The following is a 16963-nucleotide window of genomic DNA, read 5'->3' on the forward strand; positions in this document are numbered from 1 at the left end:
GAAGGGCCCAGCCTCACCTACGAGACCTGCAGCCCCCCGACCAGCTGAGGCTCCCCTCTTAGACTTATAAGTCTATGGCCACTGGCATCCGGCTGCCTGCCCTCCCTGCCTCCCCCAGGGTCCCTTCAGAGGGTCCTGGGTTTTCTGAACACCCAGAGGGGCCTCCGGCGCTCCCTCCAGCCATCCCTTTTAGTTTCACCCTCCTGGTTCAAGCAGTGTTCTTTCTCTATCAGGCCTGGTGGCTGTTGCATGGGGCTCCCCAAGGCAAGGGGTGGCCCCAGGCCAGTGGGTTGGAAGACAGGGTGACCAGAGAAGAGGGAAGCCCGAGGGGGCCGAGCATCAGCCTGAATTGCGGGTGCCCTGCCTGGGTGCCGTGTGAGAGGCCAGCGTGTGTGGGGTGGGGAGGGCCGCCACAGCCCCCAGGCGCTATCTGTGAAGCTACGGCTCCTCCCTCCATCTTCCTCCCCTTTCCCTTCCAGCCCCTTTTCCAGGAACCTTGCCACACCCACACCTGCAGCCTCCCCTCCCCGGCCCTCCCACCACTGCTGCGGCGCGGCCGGCCCCGGCCGTGTGCTGCGCTTGCCTTACCAGCTCTCTCCTCGCTTTTCTCTCCCGTTTTCTCTCTGCTTTCTCTCCAACTGCCAGCCGATCGGGTCAGGCAAGTCCATCCCGTCCTGAGAGCCCCAGGCCCCCCTTCGACCTCTAAACAGATCCCTCCTCTTCTCGGAGACCTCCCTTTCCAAGCCTGCCTGGACGGCTGTTCTGTGACTTGACAGTGGCTCCCCCAGCCCCAAAGCCAGCCCCCTTCATCTGTGACTTAATCTGTTGTAGTGGTGAGCTGATACATTCAGGTGTGACCGTTGGTGAAAACTTGTGCCCCTTCTGTGGTATGCCCTTGCCCTGTTCTATAAATATCTATAAATACTCATATATATACACACCTACACATGGCCAACCGCCTCGCCTCTAGCGCTGGGAATCAGTCACTGTGCTATCCTTGTGGAGTCTTGTGGCCCAACTACCAGAGAACGCTGTCCCCCGACATCCCACTCCAAAGTGTGCCACCTCCAGTGAGCCTCCTTGTCATGCCCGGCCTGTGGACAGCCAGCCCCCGCCATCCCTCCCACCCCCTACCAAGCATGGGGGTGCTGTGCAGGCAGCCGTGTGGCCTGACAGTTTCTACCAGTCCTGCTGTCCCTCGGCTGAGAATAAAACCCATTTCTGGATGATGGGGAATGTCTCCTCTGCTGGTTGTGTTCTCTCTGGAGCTCAGGGGAGGGGAAGGGCTAAGCCATTACTAGGGTGCTGCTGGGGGTGGTGAAAAGACCACATCTTTTCCAAGGGACATTTTTCCTGGAAAGCCCCTGGAGCTTAGGGGGCTCTCATCCTGTGAAGCGGGCTCTGGCCACTAGGGGGCAGGGCCATTAACTCAGCCTGGAGGGCGCCGGCAGGGCGGCTGGCATTCTGGAGGGACAGACAGAACAGGCCACCAGGCTCAGGCAGGCGAGGGAGGCAGGGGGACAGAATGGAAGACACCTGGGCTGGATGGAAGTCAGTGCCCTTGGGTGCTGGCATCCTGTCTTCCTGGCCACCGCTAGATCAGGCTTCTGAGCCTGTTGGCCATCGGGGCCAAACTGTCCCCATAGGTACCATGGTAGTCCCCGTGTAATCCCCAAGATGTCACCAGGCAGCATACAGGTAACAAGCCTGGAAGGTCCCAACAGCCCAGCTGCACATGCTCAGACACTCTGGGGCTCCCTGTTCAGTGGCACAAACTCCAGGACCCAGTGAGAGAAACAGGAACACATCAGGCAGAGCAGTATGGCTAAATCCATTTATTCCGAAATAAAAAGCAAAATAAACAGGAGTCGCATCACCAGGGCGCCACGACCCCATCCCCGCCTCCTTCCTCTGTCCTATGCTATCAATAAATAAGTTTCCCAGCCCCAAATAATTATTAGAACCTCCTCCCCATGTGCCAGCTCCAACCTCTGCTAGGTATGATACAGGGGGCGGCCCTACCCCTGGAATATACAAAATGTTACACAGATACAATATGTACACTGGGGAAGCAGGGCCACCCCAGCAGCCCGTGCCCTCGCCTGGTCTACAGTTAGCCCCACTGTCCTGCCTCAGCTGCCTCTCTGTGTAAGAAGATGGGAGCCCCCCTGAGGGAAAAATTGCTTTGGTGAGAGTAAGGAGGCCATGAGGCCTCTTCCAAAGAGGCCAATTATATGAGCCTCTGGCTATTAAATAACAATCATCATCATCCAGAAATTTAAGGAGTCAGCCCTGGCCAAGGTGGCTAAGGGTCTACACATTTGTCTCCCCCCATTAGACAGGGGTCTTATTTGCTACTGTAAGAGTAAAGGGATGACTGGGAAGGGGTGGCAGGCACATGATGGGGGCGGAGCCTCCGGCCCCACTTCTCCAGGCTTTGCTGACAGTGGCCTGCTTTTTAAAATTTTTATCCTGACTTTCTTTAATCCCATAACTTTTTTCATAATTTTTTTTTTTTTTGAGACAGAGTCTCACTCTGTCGCCCAGGCTGGAGTGCAATGGCGTGATCTCAGCCCACTGCAACCTCCACCTCCCAGGTTCAAGCGATTCTCCTGCCTCAGCCTCCCGAGTAGCTGGGATTACAGGCACGTGCCACCATGCCTGGCTAATTTTTGTATTTTTAGTAGAGACACAGTTTCACCATGTTGACCAGGCTGGTCTTGAACTCCCAACCTCAGCCTCCCAAAAGTGCTGGGATTACAGGCGTGAGCCACTGCACCTGGCCTTTTTTCATAACTTTTATACCATAAGTTACCCATAACCTTTTTTATCCCATAACTTTTTTTAATCCCATAACTTTTAATTTTTTTTTAATTTAGTGGCCAGCTTTTAGATGACAGTGATCTTCACCTCATCTGCACCTGTCTACCCCCGTTAGACAGGGGTCTATGCTTGCTACTGTAAGGGTAAAGGGTTGACTGAGAAGGGATGGTAGGGATATGGTGGGGGCAGGGTATCCAGCCCCACTTCTTCAGGCTTTGCTGACAGTAGCCGGCTTTTAGATGACAGTGATCTTCACCTCATCATTCTCGTCAGCCCGGTAAAAAAAAGGAATGCAGGGGTTGCTGCCCAAGCCTGGGCGCTCCCGGGGGTTCTGCATCTCACGAAGCAGCTGCATGATCTGCTGTGCAGTGGGGTTGTCACGGGGAGAACCCTCCCTGGCCTCTCCTTGGGCAGGCTCCACACTGCCGGCGAGGCTCACCTCGCAAAGATCTTTGGAGAGAGAGAGGCAGGGCTCTGAGTGCCACGCGAGCCCTCCCTTACTCCTGCCTGCCCACCCCTCCCGAGGGCTCTACTCACCACCCTGCTGGTTGGCAGCCCCAAGTTCCTGGGGGGCTGGGGCCCCTGAAGTGGGCTCATCAGCAGGGTTCTGGGCAGCTGCCAGGAATCTGCCATGCCACTCGTTGCGGTCGCCCACAAGCCGTAAGACCAGCTCCTGCAGCTCCAGCAGCTTCACCTGGAGGGAGGGGTGCTAAGCTGCCATGCCCATGCCCGTGCCCACCTCCACCCCCAGAGATGTTCCACACCCTACCTTCATCTCCTCCTTGTCTTGGGCCAGCCTGCTGATGTACTCCTCCTTCTCCCGGTGCCGCTCCTTCAGCACTGCCCTCTGGCTCTGGTACAGTGCAATGTACTCTCCTGCGGGAGGACAGGGCTCAGATGCTGGGTTCCCTCCGACCGCTGTGCAGCTCCTCCTGCCGTGCCCTGGCCTCCCACTCACCAATGGTGTCTGTCTCTCCAGAAAGCTGGATGCAGCGATGTTCCAGTTCCTCTACCCTCTCCTTCAGGTCTGCCTTCTCCTGCATGAGCTCCATAAAGCGGCTCTGGAACCAAAATAATGGAGTCATATATCGGCAGCGACCTGCCCCGCCCCCACCCTTCTTGACCCATGCCAGGAGAGACTCATTCACCTGCAGCTTCTCCATGGCCCCCTGCAGGGCCCGGTGGGTCTCCCCACACACAGAATCACCCCCGGTCCCTGGGGCTGGGGCTGCTGCCTCAGGCTCCTTCTGGGCCGAGGCCAGCAGGTGAGCCAGGCGCCGGCAGCGCACCCTTTGCTCCTTCAGCTGCCCACGTAGCCTTGCCTGCTCCTCCTCGGCACTGGCTACAGCTGAGTTGAAAAATGCCACCTGCAGGCAAGAGGGGTGCATTCTTGTAGGAGGATATATAGGATGAACAGGGCAGGGAGGTAGAGAGCAGCCCTTCCCTTGGGGCCTCAGAGGGTGCACTTGTTGGTCCCAAGTGAAATGGTGTCTCACCACTGGCTCCCAGGAAAGGGGTGAGGGTCCGAAGAAATCAGAAGGCCGGGAAACCAAGAGCAGAAGGGGGTCTGGGAGGGACCACAGAGGGAGGCAGCAAAGGTTGGGGAGGGGGAGTCAGCCTCACCATGGCTTCCCGGCTCTCCAGGTCCTCCGGGATGCTTGGCATGGGCTGAGGTACTGCCACCGCCTCCTCCTCCTCCTCCTCCTCATCCTCCTCCTCCTCCCGGTCCAGTCCATCTCCTATGGGGGTGGCCAGAGGGGTCATCAGACAACCCAACAAGGGTACAGTGGGCCCACCTCTGCCCCCACCCTCACTGTGTAACCCTGGGCCAGCCCCTCCCCAGAGGGAAATAAGCATCTGTTCTTTATTTTTATTTTATTCTTTTTTAAGAGCCAAGGGCTCGCTATGCTGCCCAGGTGCAGTCCCACTACCGATCAGCATGGGAGTTCTGACCTGCTTCATTTCTGACCTGGGCCAGTTCACCCATCCTTAGGTAAGCTGGTAGTGCCCTGCTCCCAGGAAGTCACCATATTGATGCCGAACTTAGTGTGGACACCCAGTTGGCATAATGACCAGCTGTTCTAAAGGTCTCTTCCAACTCCTCAATTCTACGCTGCTAACAGTCCCCCCTTCTTCCTGGGGCTCTCTCCTCTTCCTGTGAGCAGGTTCCCGTACCTTCCCCAGGGTGAGCCATGAGGCTCAACTGGGCCCGTAGCTGCTGATTCTGCTGGGTGGCAGCTTCCAGGCGCTCCTAAGGGGCCAGAAAAGAGAGTGAGAAGGCATGGAGGTTGCCAGGTTGTCCCCCTCGGGGCCCTGCCCTCACCAACTCCCTCACCTGGGTTTCCTGCAACTCTTGGCGGGCCATCTCGGCCACCGCTTTGCCCTGAGCTTCCTGCTGCTGCAGCTGGTCCACGAGCTGGGTCTGCAGCAGTAGCTGATTATGCAGCACCTCCTTCTCAGAGGTCAGCTGCTGATAGGCGGCCACATACTGCTGCAGGTGTCCCAGGTACTGGTCTCGCTGCTGCTGCAGACTTTGAGCCTCTTGGCTCTTCAGCTCCACCTGTAGGAAGACCCTGGGCGTGAGGGCAGGTGGTGGCCTGCTTCCAGATTCAGGGCCCATAAATAGGGTAGCGAGGGCTCTGTCACCTGCCCAGACCTCTGGCCCCTTGCTCCAGGCCTAAGTGACTGCCTCCCTTGTCTAGAGCCTCGTGCCTCCTTCCCCAGCCTCAAATTTCACATCCTTCTTCCCACCATTTAAACCGTAGGCCACAGACTGGTGGAAACGCAGAGGGAGCCAACCACCATCTGCTAAGTGTGCTACATGCCTAATGCTTTCCACGTATTATCTCATTGAATCCTCAGCACCTCTGCAAGGAAGATGCTAACTTCCTTTTTAAGTTAAAGAAACTGGGGCTTAGAGATGCAAAGTAGTTGAATGATGACCAGTGGAGCAAAGGCCAGAATCCAGTTTGAATCTAAGGAGCCTCTTATGCCGCTGTCTCTTCCCCTGTGATTGGGAGAAATCCATGCCTCTAGCTGGGACGATGATGTCCAGACCTGAGAGGAGCCCAAAGCTATCCACCTCTAAAAGTCAGAGGGCAGGGAGCAAGAAACAGTCACAGGACTGCCCTGGAGGGTGCTGGGGTCACCTGTGCCCCAGGCTGGAGCTGCCTCTGGCCTCACACCACCCCTCCCCAGAGGCTGGTGCCCGCCTCCCAGCCCTTCTTGGATGGGGCGGGGTTACCGTTTCCTTCAGCTCGCTCAGCTTCTCCTGCAGCTCGCCCAGCTTCTTTCCCAGCTCCCTCTTGACGTGCTGCTCCGACTGCAGTGCGCTGGTGATCTCCATGTTCTCATTAGTCTGGACAGAGAGAAGCAATCAGCGGCCACCCACTGCAGCTGGAGACCCCAGAACTTGCTGCCTTGGTGTCTGCCTCCCATGGCACCGGGAAGGGTGGAGGCAGGTTAGAAAAATCATCCCCTCTCCCCCACAGCCATCGGAGCAGGGCTCTGGCTCACAGATGCCTCCAGAAGTACCATTTCAAGTGAGGGCTACACTGCCCCACTTTACAGGTGGGAAAACAAAGGTCTGGAGGGCTAGGGAGGAGGGCGGGCTCTCCAGGTGGGGCAGCGCACCAGCTTTACAAATCCGCTCTGCAGCTCAGCCAGCTGCTCCTTGAGCTCCCGGTTCTGGGAGAGTGCGCGGCTGATGGTAGTGCGGTCGTTCTGCATGGTCTCCAGGATTTGCCTGCGCGCCTCCGCCTGCTCCCCCCAGAGCTCGGCCGCCCGCTCCAGCTCCAGCAGCCTCTCCTCCTGCTCCCGGTTCAGGCGACTCAAGCCCTCATTGTCTTGCACCTGGGCTTGAAGCTGTCCTGCCAGACCCTCCAGCTCCTTCCGCAGGTGCTCAGCCTCCGCTTGTAGCTGCTGCTCCACCTCGGAGGGCCCTGCTGGGGGCTCTGGGGGCGGGGGTTCAGCTGAGAAAGGACGCAGACAATAAAAGCCTCTGGATTCTCAAAAAAACCCTCCTCTTGGTCCATACCTCCTCTCAAGCTCCCCAAACTTGGCCTCCCTGCTGATGATTCCTCGCACCCGGATGTTAGCCAATCTTCCAAACCACTTTCCGATAGCGACAACTGTGGGTGGCTGACAACGGGCACTCCTTCGTCTTTGCTGATGGGGCACTGAGGCTCATGGAGATGACGAGACTTGCCATCTCCTGGCACAGACCTCTTTCCCTCTGCCTCAAAGCCATTCCATCCACCCAACTCCCTGGGGCATTCTAAACCACCCCCACAACCCTCTGACACCATTCCTGCTCCCAGGTCACCCCAGCCCCAGCTTACCCATCTGGTTCCTCAGTTCAGCCAAGCTCGTCTCCAGCTCCTGTACCCGACTCATGCTACATTCCTTCTCCTCTCTCAATGTGTGCACCTGCCCAAAGCACAGCAAGAAAGGGCCCTGGAGAGGGGCTGGTGGCTGGACAGGCTACCATCTCCCTCTGCCCCCACCGCCACAAAGCCCAGACCCATGACCACCTCTGGCTGTGCTCCTCCCATTTCGCAGATGCCCAGAAAGATCAAGTGACCTATCTAAGGTTGAGGGGGAGCTGAAGGGTCAGGTCTCACCTGCTCTGACATCTGCTGCATCCTCTGCCGCCACATGGCGCTCTCTCCTTTGAGATTCTCCGCATATTTATCTCTCTCCATTTGTAGTTGTCTAACCGACTCCATTACCTGCAAGAATGGCCACAGAAATGAGGAAGGACTGTCACTGGTTGTCACCTACTCCTGGCCACCTGGGGTCATCTTCCTTCTACATCCCTCCCCTGCAAAGCCTCACCTGCCCCAGGTGTGCTTCCAGCTGTGCCCGCTCCTCCATGGCCTGCTGTAACTGCTGGTTAGCATCAGGGGCTTCACACCGGCTTGAAAACTGGATGGTGAAGAGCGAGAAGTTTAGATCTGGGGAGCCCAGGCCGTTCCAAATAGTGCCCCTTAAAAGGGCTAGGGCTAGGCTCAATGTGCAACTCAGTCAATACAACTCTGCTGTCAAGTTTCTTTGCTTTAGAAATAAAAAATAATTTTAAAAAGATCTCAGGCCAGGCATGGTGGCTGATGCCTGTAATCTCAACACTTTGGGAGGCTGAGGTGGGTGGATTGCTTGAGCTCAGGAGTTCAAGACCAACCTCGGCAACATGGCAAAGCCCCGTATCTACAAATACAAAAATTAGCCAGGCATGGTAGTGTGCGCCTGTAGTCCCAACTACTTGAGAAGCTGAGGCAGGAGGATGGCTTGAGCCTGGGAAGTAGAGGTTGCAGTAAGTATCACTCCAGCCTGGGTGATAGAGCGAGACCCCGTCTAAAAAAAAAAAAAAAAAGATCTCTACTCTCTATTATTAGTGAAAGTGTTGGCTTGAACCTCAGAAGGAAATAAACAGACTCATGAGCTAGCCATATAAATGTAATCTCTAAAATAATGGTTTTCACCCATGATGCTTTAAAACAAAACAAAACAAAACAAAACAAAAATTGTCTTAAGCCCTAACCCTAAGATTCTGATTCCCCAGGTCCCCAATTTGTAGATTTTTAGCACTCTCTAGAGGATTTTATGCCAGGACCGGAACAAGGACCCAAATTTTCCAGCTCTTGGCTGGAGTCTCCCCATGCCCTGCATGATCCCTAGACCATGGCCCCAGCTGGATGGCGCTCCCACCACCCATGGGGCTGCAGCCTCTTGCCTGTTGAAGCAGGAGTTCCGTCATCTCTAACTTCTTTTGCAATTCTTCCAAGTTAAGCTGCATGCCAGCCTTCTCAGTCACTAGGACCCGAAGCTTCTCTTCCAATTCTGATTTCTCTTGCTTCAGGTCCTCATTGCTTTGGCTATGGCCAGAGGCAGTAGAGAAAGGAATGAACGAAGAACAGAAAGGACTGCTTTGGTGATCCACCCTCTACCCTTGCCCCACAACCACAGAACTGTGGCACTGGAAGGAACCCCAGGAATCAAAAGTCACATGTACAGGCCAGAGAAAAGATACGAGTTACCCAAGGCTACACCATGAGTCAGTGGCACAGCTGGCACTAGAGCTTTGCTGGGCACACATGCACACCTCTATGACTACCTCATCATGCTTACCTGTACCCCCCACCTCCCAGCACACCACCCATGCTGAGGGCCCCCAGACCTCCCATCCCACCATCCCCCATCCTACGTGTTCTTGTATAACTCCAGCCTGAGGGCGTCTCTCTCTTTGGTTAACTCCTTGTTGTACTGTAAATACAGAAAGGTTAAGTCAGGATATAGCAGGCAGAGGAGCAGCTGGCCAACCAGTAACAACAGCTACAGTAAGTACTCCACAGTAACACTTCCTCACTCTCAATCACACTTGACATGTTTTCAAGGCATTTCCAAGCCCATGGTCTCATTTTGTTGTTGCTGTTGTTGTTTTTGAGACAGAGTCTCCCTCTGTCACCCAGGCTGAAGTGCAGTGGTGAGATCTCAGCTCACAACCTCTGCCTCCCTGGTCCAAGTGACTCTCCTGCCTCAGCCTCCTGAGTAGCTGGGACTATAGGCGTGCACCACCATGTCCGGCTAATTTGTTTTGTTTTGTTTTTTCTGAGATGGAGTCTCTGTTGCCCAGGCTGGAGTGCAGTGGCGCAATTTCGGCTCACTGCAAGCTCCGCCTCCCGGGTTCATGCCATTCTCCTGCTTCAGCCTCCTAAGTAGCTGGGACTACAGGCCCCCGCCACCACACCCGGCTAATTTTTTTGTATTTTTAGTAGAGACGAGGTTTCACTGTGTTAGCAAGGATGGTCTCGATCTCCTGACCTTGTGATCCGCCCGTCTCAGCCTCCCAAAGTGCTGGGATTACAGGCGTGAGCCACCATGCCTGGCCTAATTTTTTTATTTTTAATAGAGAGGGGGTTTCAACATGTTGGCCAGGCTGGTCTTGACTCCTGACCTCAAGTGATCCGCCCGCCTCAACTTCCCAAAGTGTTGGGATTACGGCACCCGGCTGGTCTCATTTGTTTTTAAAAAAACTTGGTAAGGGTGGCCGGGTGCGGTGGCTCACGCCTGTAATCCTGGCACTTTGGGAGGCCGAGGGGGACGGATTACGAGATCAGGGGATCGAGACCATCCTGGCTAACACGGTGAAACCCCATCTCTACTAAAAAAAAAAAAAATACAAAAAATTAGCCAGGCGTGGTGGCAGGTGCCTGTAGTCCCAGCTACTCGGGAGGCTGAGGCAGGAGAATGGCATGAACCCGGGAGACAGAGCTTGCAGTGAGCCGAGATGGTGCCACTGCACTCCAGCCTGGGCAACAGAGTGAGACTCCGTCTCAAAAAAAAAGGACTTGGTAAGGGTGGAAGGAACAGGGAGAGAGAGCGAATTTATGTATGTACGTATGTATGTATATATGTATTTATTTGAGATGGAGTCTCCATCTGTCACCCAGGCTGGAGTGCAGTGGCGCCATCTTGGCTCACTGCAACCTCTGCCTCCCGGGTTCATGTGATTCTCCTGCCTCAGGCTCCTGAGTACCTAGGATTACAGGCATGCGCCATCATGCCTGGCTAATTTTTGTTATTATTTATTTATTTATTTATTTATTTATTTATTTTCAGACAGAGTCTCCCTCTGTCACCCAGGCTGGAGGGCAGTGGCACGATCTCAGCTCACCGCAACTTCCGCCCCCGGGTTCAAGCAATTCTCCTGCCTCAGCCTCCCAAGTAGCTGCAATTACAGGGGCACGCCACCACACCTGGCTAATTTTTTGCATTTTTAGTAGACACAGGGTTTTGCTATGTTGGTCAGGCTGGTCTCGAACTCCTGACCTCAGTTGACCCACCTGCCTCGGCCTCCCAAAGTGCTGGGATTACAGGCATGAGCCACCACACCTGGCCAAGATCGAATTTACAGCTGGCTAACAGAGGCCCAGAGAGATCAGATAATATTGCTATTGTTATTATCATTATTACTACCACTGTTTGAACCTTTATTGAATGCTTCACCAGGCACCATGCTAACAATCCCATTTAATCCTCATAACCACCACATGAGACAGTTACTATTATTACCTCTATTTTGTAGATGGACAACACGGAATATTAGAGGTTAAGTGCTTGCCTAAGATCACTTAGACAGAGCTCGGATTTGAACACCCAGGTATATCTGACTCTCTAAGCTCATTTGTTCCCCGAGGGTGGGGGCACAAATAGGAAGGGGGAAATTATCTTTTGTTCAGTTTTTGAAAGGATGATATATTCAGATAGTCCAAAACTCCGAAAGGGCAGAAGGGAAATATCTTCCAGCCGTGCTGTTCCTCTCTCCTGAGTTTGTTATGAATCCATGCAGACACGTTTTATGTATATTGTCATAGTACATAGGTACACATACACACACACGTTCCCTCTCTCTACACAAATGGTAACATACTAAAGATACTCTTCTGTACCTTCACAGTACAAGTACCATATTCCCCCACCTAGGACTTGACCAAGGCCACAGCCAGGTAACGGCACAGCGGGCACTTGGCCTCCGAGCTCTGCGTCCAGTGTTCACTCCCCACAGTGCCCCCAAACTCACCCACAGCAGCTGACTCAGCCCCAGGATGCCTCTAGCAACCACACACAAAAGCAGTGATAAATGGCCCATGCTGCCTTCTAGGCAGGACAGTCAACCCTGCAGAAGGGACCTTTAGGCTCACTCCTCCATCTGGGAAGCCAGTATGCCAGGGGACGGGGCAGGCAGTTGGACTCACCCTGTCTGCCTTCTTCTGCTGCGTGGAGACAGCAGAGAGAGCCCGCTCCAACTCTCCCACACGCCGCCGGGAATACTGCAGGCGGCTGGCCAGATCTTCAGACTCTCCTGGAATGAGAGAGGTTGAGATGGGGCCCAAAGGACTCCCCCTAAAGGCCTGTCAAAGTGCCAGGTTGAAGGATGATGGGGTGCCCAGATTCCCACCTTCTTTCTGCCTGGCAGCATGCTGAGTGTGAGCCAGGGCTGTCTGTAACTCAGCTTTCTCTGATACGAGGATCCCTATGGTCTGAATGTGAACCTTTGGGAGGAAACCCAAGCAAGTGCTGAAAAAGAAGGAAAGAAACATTCTCCAGAGGACAGGACGGAACTTCACACCCTCCACTCACCTGTAACTGCTCCCTTAGGGCTCCCTGCTTTTGGTGGCATTCTTTCTTTTCCTATAGGAAGAGGAAGACAGAGCTCTTACGAGGGGGAGGCAGAGACGGCACAGCAAGGGACATGCCCCCAGAATGCCACCAATGTCCCAGGACAGGCCCACCCATGGGACCAGGTTATCAGGGACCCTGTGGGGATGGGGTGGAATCTGGGGGGGTGAGCCTTCTTCCCCAGGCTGGGAGTGGGTGAGACGAGACTGAGGCCTCTACATTTGAATGCCCCCCAAACCCAGCAGTCATGTTGTGAGCAAACAAAGAAATCACGTTACTTCTTCCAACTGATCCGTAATTTCTTGGTTCTGTTGTTTCTGTGGGGAAGAGTCAAAGGAAGGTGACTGAGGGTGGCCCCCTCAACTCTATTCCCCAGACCAGGAACGGGTAGGCAGGGGCCAGGAATGGATTTTAAAGGCAAAGTTCTCAGACCCAATGGGAACACGAACTGGTAAACTCTCCTCAGGCTCTCAAGGAAAGGGGATTTGTGTCTTTGTTGGTTTTTGCCCACAGCCACAGAACTGAAAGTCTGAATCTCGATTCTCTTGAAAGGACAGTAACATAAACCTCTAGAGATGGAGTGTGAGAAAAGCCCACCCTCTGCCAGTTTGTGATTTAGAAAGGTGTAATCATTCAACAAACATTTGCTGAGCACACACAGGCCAGGTACGGTTCTTAATAGCAGGGATACCAGACAGAAAAAGACAGACAGGAGCCCTTGGCCCTGAGGTTTACATTCTAATGGGCCTTTAAATCTTGGACTCTCAGAGCTAAGAGACCTTTGATACTCTCTAACTCTACCTCCTCAGGAAATGCAAGCCCAAGGAGGAGAGGTGGCTTGTCCCAAATCAAAGAGCAAATTAAGGACTGAGTCAGGGCAGAAATACAGGGCTCCTGACAACCAGTCAGGCTAGCGCTTCCCCAAGAGGCAACAACCCCAGGGCGTGTGTGGCAAGGACTCGAGCAGGGGTGTCTAGAGAAGAGAGAGTAGGCAAAGAGGGCAGCAACAGAAGAGCCATGCTGCATGCTCCGTGCTCTGGGGTCCCTCCAGCTGAGGCCTGGGCCCCCCAGCTCCCCATTCGCCCTTGGCACCAGGGGCCCCCTGCCCCTTTCTTCAGGGTCCCAAGGGGAAACTGGAGCCCAGGATTAGCAGCATGGAATCAGGGGACCCCACTGGACTCTTACCAATTTCTCTATCGTGATATTGAGTTGTTTGTTTGTTACATAGCTGGAGTCCAGGGCTACCGCTAGCTGTTGGTACCGGCTCTGAGGCGCATGCAGAGAGGAGGAGTTGGAGGAGGATTGGGGGGAGAGGTAGAGAGAGCAATCATTAGGGTTGGGGGGTGTGTGGGCTGTCTCAGCTGGCAGAGGGGCACCCAGCCCCCGCTGTGGGAGGAGGTTGGAGGGCTGGCCTGCAGGGTCACTGGGCCACGGCCCAGGGCCTCTTACCTCCAGATCCTTCAGGTTAGCAGACGATGCAGGGCCCTCCCCATTGACACATGTCGCAGACTATAAGAGACGAGAGTGCACATGGAGATGTTCTGTCCCCTCAGTGTCTAAGCCCTCTAACTTCGTTTCTTCCCCAGCAATTGGCAACATTTTCTTTTCTAACTTGGACCCTCTGTCCCGTAACCCCTTTGTGCCAACTTCTCTCATGGTTCTTATTTCCCCACCATCCTTTCCTCCCGAGCAGCTCTCATCCAGTGCTTCTGCAGCAGGATACAATGATGCAACCAGTCATGGGGTCCAACTCCTTCATGTGCACAACTTCAAGGGAGAAGGCTCAGGGAAAAGGCGACTTCCTTAACATTGCCCAGCACATTGGCTGGTCCCAGGATCTTCCCTCTCTCTTGTGAATCCCTGCTTCAGTTTCTATCATAGTTCCCTTCCCCCCACCCCGCTCTCGGCCTCAGTTCCTGAGGTACCTCACAAACAAGACCATTGAGCTGTTGGGAGAGTTGTCGCAGGCTCTCGGTTGATGAGAAAGTCCTAGGGATGGAGACACAGGGGTCAGGGGTGCAGGTGGCTCAATGGGAAAGAAGGTCATGGGCAGTGGCCTCCCTGACTCTCTCAGCCTAGAGACTGCTGCCCCAACAGGAGACACTCACTTGGTTTCATCCATGAGATTAGGGACATTGTCAGCATCATGATTCTGTTTGGGAAGAAACGTGTGAGATGGTCATTCAATTTCTGGTAAGAATCACCCAGGATGGGGTGAGTCAAGCTCCCAAACTCATTCTAACAATCTTCAATCTCCCCAGGCCTCAAGGAAAAAAGCCCAGTCTGAGCCTTCCCCCGGCCCGGTCCCCAGGAAGGGCCCTTGACCCTAGGGAACAAGCTGCCTGTGAAAGGAGAAGATAATGCATAATAGGTACAGGAGGGCAGTGGGCAGAGGGGGAGGAGGCACGAACCTGAGATGCCGCCATGCTAGTGAGACTGGCACCAGGGGAAGGGACACCGCCAGGTAACACGGTGTCATCAGATGGTTGTAGAGTAGCAGCATTGTCCTTGGGTGTCTGTCACAGAACAGAGCAGGGGGTTAGGGGGCCATGCGGGAGAGGTGCCTCAGTACTATGAACACAAGGGTGTGGAACAGGTAGGACAGGTGTTGCTGCAGTCAGAGTGACAGTCACACATGCTAGGAGCCACTCAGGGGTGTGGATTGGTTGCCCAGGCCTTGGGCTGCTAGGCAGCATTTCAGATGGCCAAAGCTCAAAGCAGGGGCTGCACGGCCTCCTTCATGAACACGAGGACCTCGCTCTCCCTGGAGCTCAGCAAAAGACAGCAGCAGGCTCTGACCTGTGGCAGCCACAGCAGGCAGGAGGAAGGTGTGCCAAAGTCAGGGAGGAGAAAGGCACTGTTCTTCCAGAAGGCCAGTCTGTGCTGCAGAGTGACCCTCACTGGGCCCCTACTGGGCAGAGGATGGTGATGAGGAAGTAGTTGTCTGGGCAATGCACAATGTAGCTATCTGCCTGTCTCCTCCTTTCCTCCCTTCCCTTCTCCCCTGCAGTGGCACAATCATAGTTCACTGCAGCTTCCACCTCCTGGGCTCAAGCAATGCTCCCACCTCAGCCTCCCTAGTAGCTGAGATTATAGGTGCACACTACCATGCTCAGCTAATTTCTATAGAAACATGGTCTTGCCATCTTGCCCAGGCTGGTCTCAAAGTCCTGGGCTCAAGTGATCCACCTTGGTCTCCCAAAATGTTGAGATTACAGGTGTGAGCCATTGCACTTGGCCTACTGGCTGTGTTTCTGATTCAGGCCTTTTCAGGGGGAAAAAAAAAAAGCTGCCCAACTAGAAGACTCTCTCCAACTCTCTGGAGGTAAAAAGAGGATAAACCATGGCCAACACCCCCACCCCGACCTCTTACCTCCAAAAACATCTACCCAGCCAAGAAACCACCCAAGAAAACAGAGGTAAGACATCTTCCCTGTGGCTCTTGGCAACTTGGAAGTTGTAGGGCCTCTTTCCTGGGAATAGTACCTGAGGACAATCCTAGGATTCAGAACTTGGGGTCATGTGGAGCCTCTCCCTTGCCCCCAACTGGACCTACCTGCTTGATCAGAGCCCCACCCAGCCTCTCTCCAGGCTCTGACCTTACTCTTCGCCCAAGCCTCTGGTTCTAGAGATCTTCTAATATCTGACAAGCCAGATGGGCAGACAGTGGAAAAAGCTGGCTGACCAGCTAAGCTGGACAAGAGAAAAACACCAGGGAGCCAGGGCCTGGCCACGGAAGCTGGGTCTGGGAGAAGTGACTACACCTCTCTCCAGGGAAAGGACTGCGCGCTCACTGGACCCTTCAGCCCTGGCTTCTGAAAACCCAAATCTGCTTCCCTCCTTAGAGCAAGTGCTGCAGAGGCTGGTGGAACTGAAGATGAGCCAAGCTGCCTTTGCATCTTTGCAAGTTTACTGTGACCATGGAACCTGGTGTTTCCTTGACAATGCCTACAACTGAATCTAATAGGTCAGAGCAAGGGTTCAGTTGCTGGCCAGGCATTAGCCTTGAGGGAAGGCTGGCACTCCTAGCAATGGACCCTGCTAGGCTTTAGGGCCCTCCTGGCATCTTCGGTTCCCACTGATCTCTAGGATTAGACACAAGAATGCTCAGAGGAAGGGAATTTTTTTTTTTTTTTTTTTTTGAGATGGGAGTCTCACTCTGTCGCCCAGGCTGGAGTGTAGTGGCGAGATCTCCACTCACTGCAACCTCCGCCTCCTGAGTTCGAGATTCTCCTGCTTCAGCCTCCCAAGCAGCTGGGATTATAGGTGCACGCTACCACGCCCAGCTAATTTTTGTATTTTTAGTAGAGATGGGGTTTCACCATGTTGGCCAGGCTGCTCTCGAACTCCTGACCTCAGGTGATCCACCCTCCTCAGTCTCCCAAAGTGCTGGGATTACAGGCATGAGCTACTGCACTTGGCTGAAAAAGCATTTTTCTGAGGACTTTCTGACACACATAGCATGATTATTTTGTGAGCAACCAAGTTATTTCATTATTTTAAGTCTTGTAGCCAAGATGGAGTTTTTAAAAAAGCCTACTCTCCTCAAAATGTCCCATCCCATTAAGATATTTTTTCTCTCTCCATTATTCCCTACTTCTGGAAATGTTATCAGCTCCGCTCAGGATACTACGATCACAGGCCTGCATTCCTGGAGTAGAAAACTTACATGGTAATAAAAATGAGAAATTAAAAAAAAACAAAACCTACATTGGAAACAGTTACGGATATAGAGAAGGTATAAAAACAGCAAGGGGCTGGGCATGGTGGCTCACACATGTAATCTCAGCACTTTGGGAGGCCAAGGCAGGTGAATCACTTGAGGCCAGGAGTTCGAAACCAGCCTGAGCAACATGGCAAGACCCCATCTCTATTAAAAATACAAAAAAAATGGCCGGGCGTGATGGTGCAACATCTGTAATCCCAGCTACTTGGGAGGCTGAGGCATGAAAATCACTTGAAC

At 53.9% G+C, this 16963-nt stretch overlaps 2 protein-coding genes across 20 annotated transcripts in view, besides 2 other annotated features; one reads left to right on the top strand and one right to left on the bottom strand.

The window, feature by feature from the left end:
* Window positions 1-1236, top strand: part of DNM1 (dynamin 1) — a 51866-nt gene extending 50630 nt beyond the window's left edge. For 4 of the 6 annotated variants that reach the window (NM_001005336.3, NM_004408.4, NM_001288737.2 and 1 more), the window contains one exon: window positions 646-1236. Coding sequence is in view for 3 of the 6 variants with exons in the window: in NM_004408.4 (NP_004399.2) it covers window positions 646-706 (61 nt within the window). In the remaining 3 variants the exon portion in view is untranslated. The other 2 variants (NM_001374269.1, NM_001288738.2) reach the window with 1 other exon arrangement.
* Window positions 1043-1547: an enhancer, noted in NCBI's record as "H3K4me1 hESC enhancer chr9:131017330-131017834 (GRCh37/hg19 assembly coordinates)". NCBI's record gives its function as "activates a minimal SCP1, AML or CMV promoter by ChIP-STARR-seq in primed H9 embryonic stem cells {active_cell/tissue: H9 hESC(primed)}" and the evidence as "EXISTENCE:reporter gene assay evidence [ECO:0000049][PMID:30033119]".
* Window positions 1548-2050: an enhancer, noted in NCBI's record as "H3K4me1 hESC enhancer chr9:131017835-131018337 (GRCh37/hg19 assembly coordinates)". NCBI's record gives its function as "activates a minimal SCP1, AML or CMV promoter by ChIP-STARR-seq in naive H9 embryonic stem cells {active_cell/tissue: H9 hESC(naive)}" and the evidence as "EXISTENCE:reporter gene assay evidence [ECO:0000049][PMID:30033119]".
* The window catches only part of GOLGA2 (golgin A2), a 20179-nt gene continuing 5036 nt past the window's right edge, over window positions 1821-16963 (bottom strand). For 2 of the 14 annotated variants that reach the window (NM_004486.6, NM_001366244.2), the window contains 24 exons: window positions 14412-14516; window positions 14109-14152; window positions 13926-13989; window positions 13450-13509; window positions 13186-13266; window positions 12279-12317; window positions 11962-12012; window positions 11780-11873; window positions 11577-11683; window positions 9026-9084; window positions 8555-8696; window positions 7660-7749; window positions 7446-7553; window positions 7164-7251; window positions 6457-6794; window positions 6068-6181; window positions 5159-5383; window positions 4999-5074; window positions 4447-4562; window positions 3972-4190; window positions 3782-3884; window positions 3593-3699; window positions 3361-3517; window positions 1821-3273 (listed from right to left, as the gene is read on the bottom strand). In NM_004486.6, coding sequence (NP_004477.5) covers window positions 3059-3273; window positions 3361-3517; window positions 3593-3699; window positions 3782-3884; window positions 3972-4190; window positions 4447-4562; window positions 4999-5074; window positions 5159-5383; window positions 6068-6181; window positions 6457-6794; window positions 7164-7251; window positions 7446-7553; window positions 7660-7749; window positions 8555-8696; window positions 9026-9084; window positions 11577-11683; window positions 11780-11873; window positions 11962-12012; window positions 12279-12317; window positions 13186-13266; window positions 13450-13509; window positions 13926-13989; window positions 14109-14152; window positions 14412-14516 — 2802 coding nt within the window. In that variant the 3' untranslated portion in view covers window positions 1821-3058. The remainder of the gene's footprint in view (window positions 3274-3360; window positions 3518-3592; window positions 3700-3781; window positions 3885-3971; window positions 4191-4446; window positions 4563-4998; window positions 5075-5158; window positions 5384-6067; window positions 6182-6456; window positions 6795-7163; window positions 7252-7445; window positions 7554-7659; window positions 7750-8554; window positions 8697-9025; window positions 9085-11576; window positions 11684-11779; window positions 11874-11961; window positions 12013-12278; window positions 12318-13185; window positions 13267-13449; window positions 13510-13925; window positions 13990-14108; window positions 14153-14411; window positions 14517-16963) is intronic. The other 12 variants (NM_001389701.2, NM_001366246.2, NM_001389703.2 and 9 more) reach the window with 10 other exon arrangements.

This window comes from Homo sapiens, chromosome 9 (assembly GCF_000001405.40).
Source record: "Homo sapiens chromosome 9, GRCh38.p14 Primary Assembly".
NCBI classification, from domain to species: domain Eukaryota; kingdom Metazoa; phylum Chordata; class Mammalia; order Primates; family Hominidae; genus Homo; species Homo sapiens.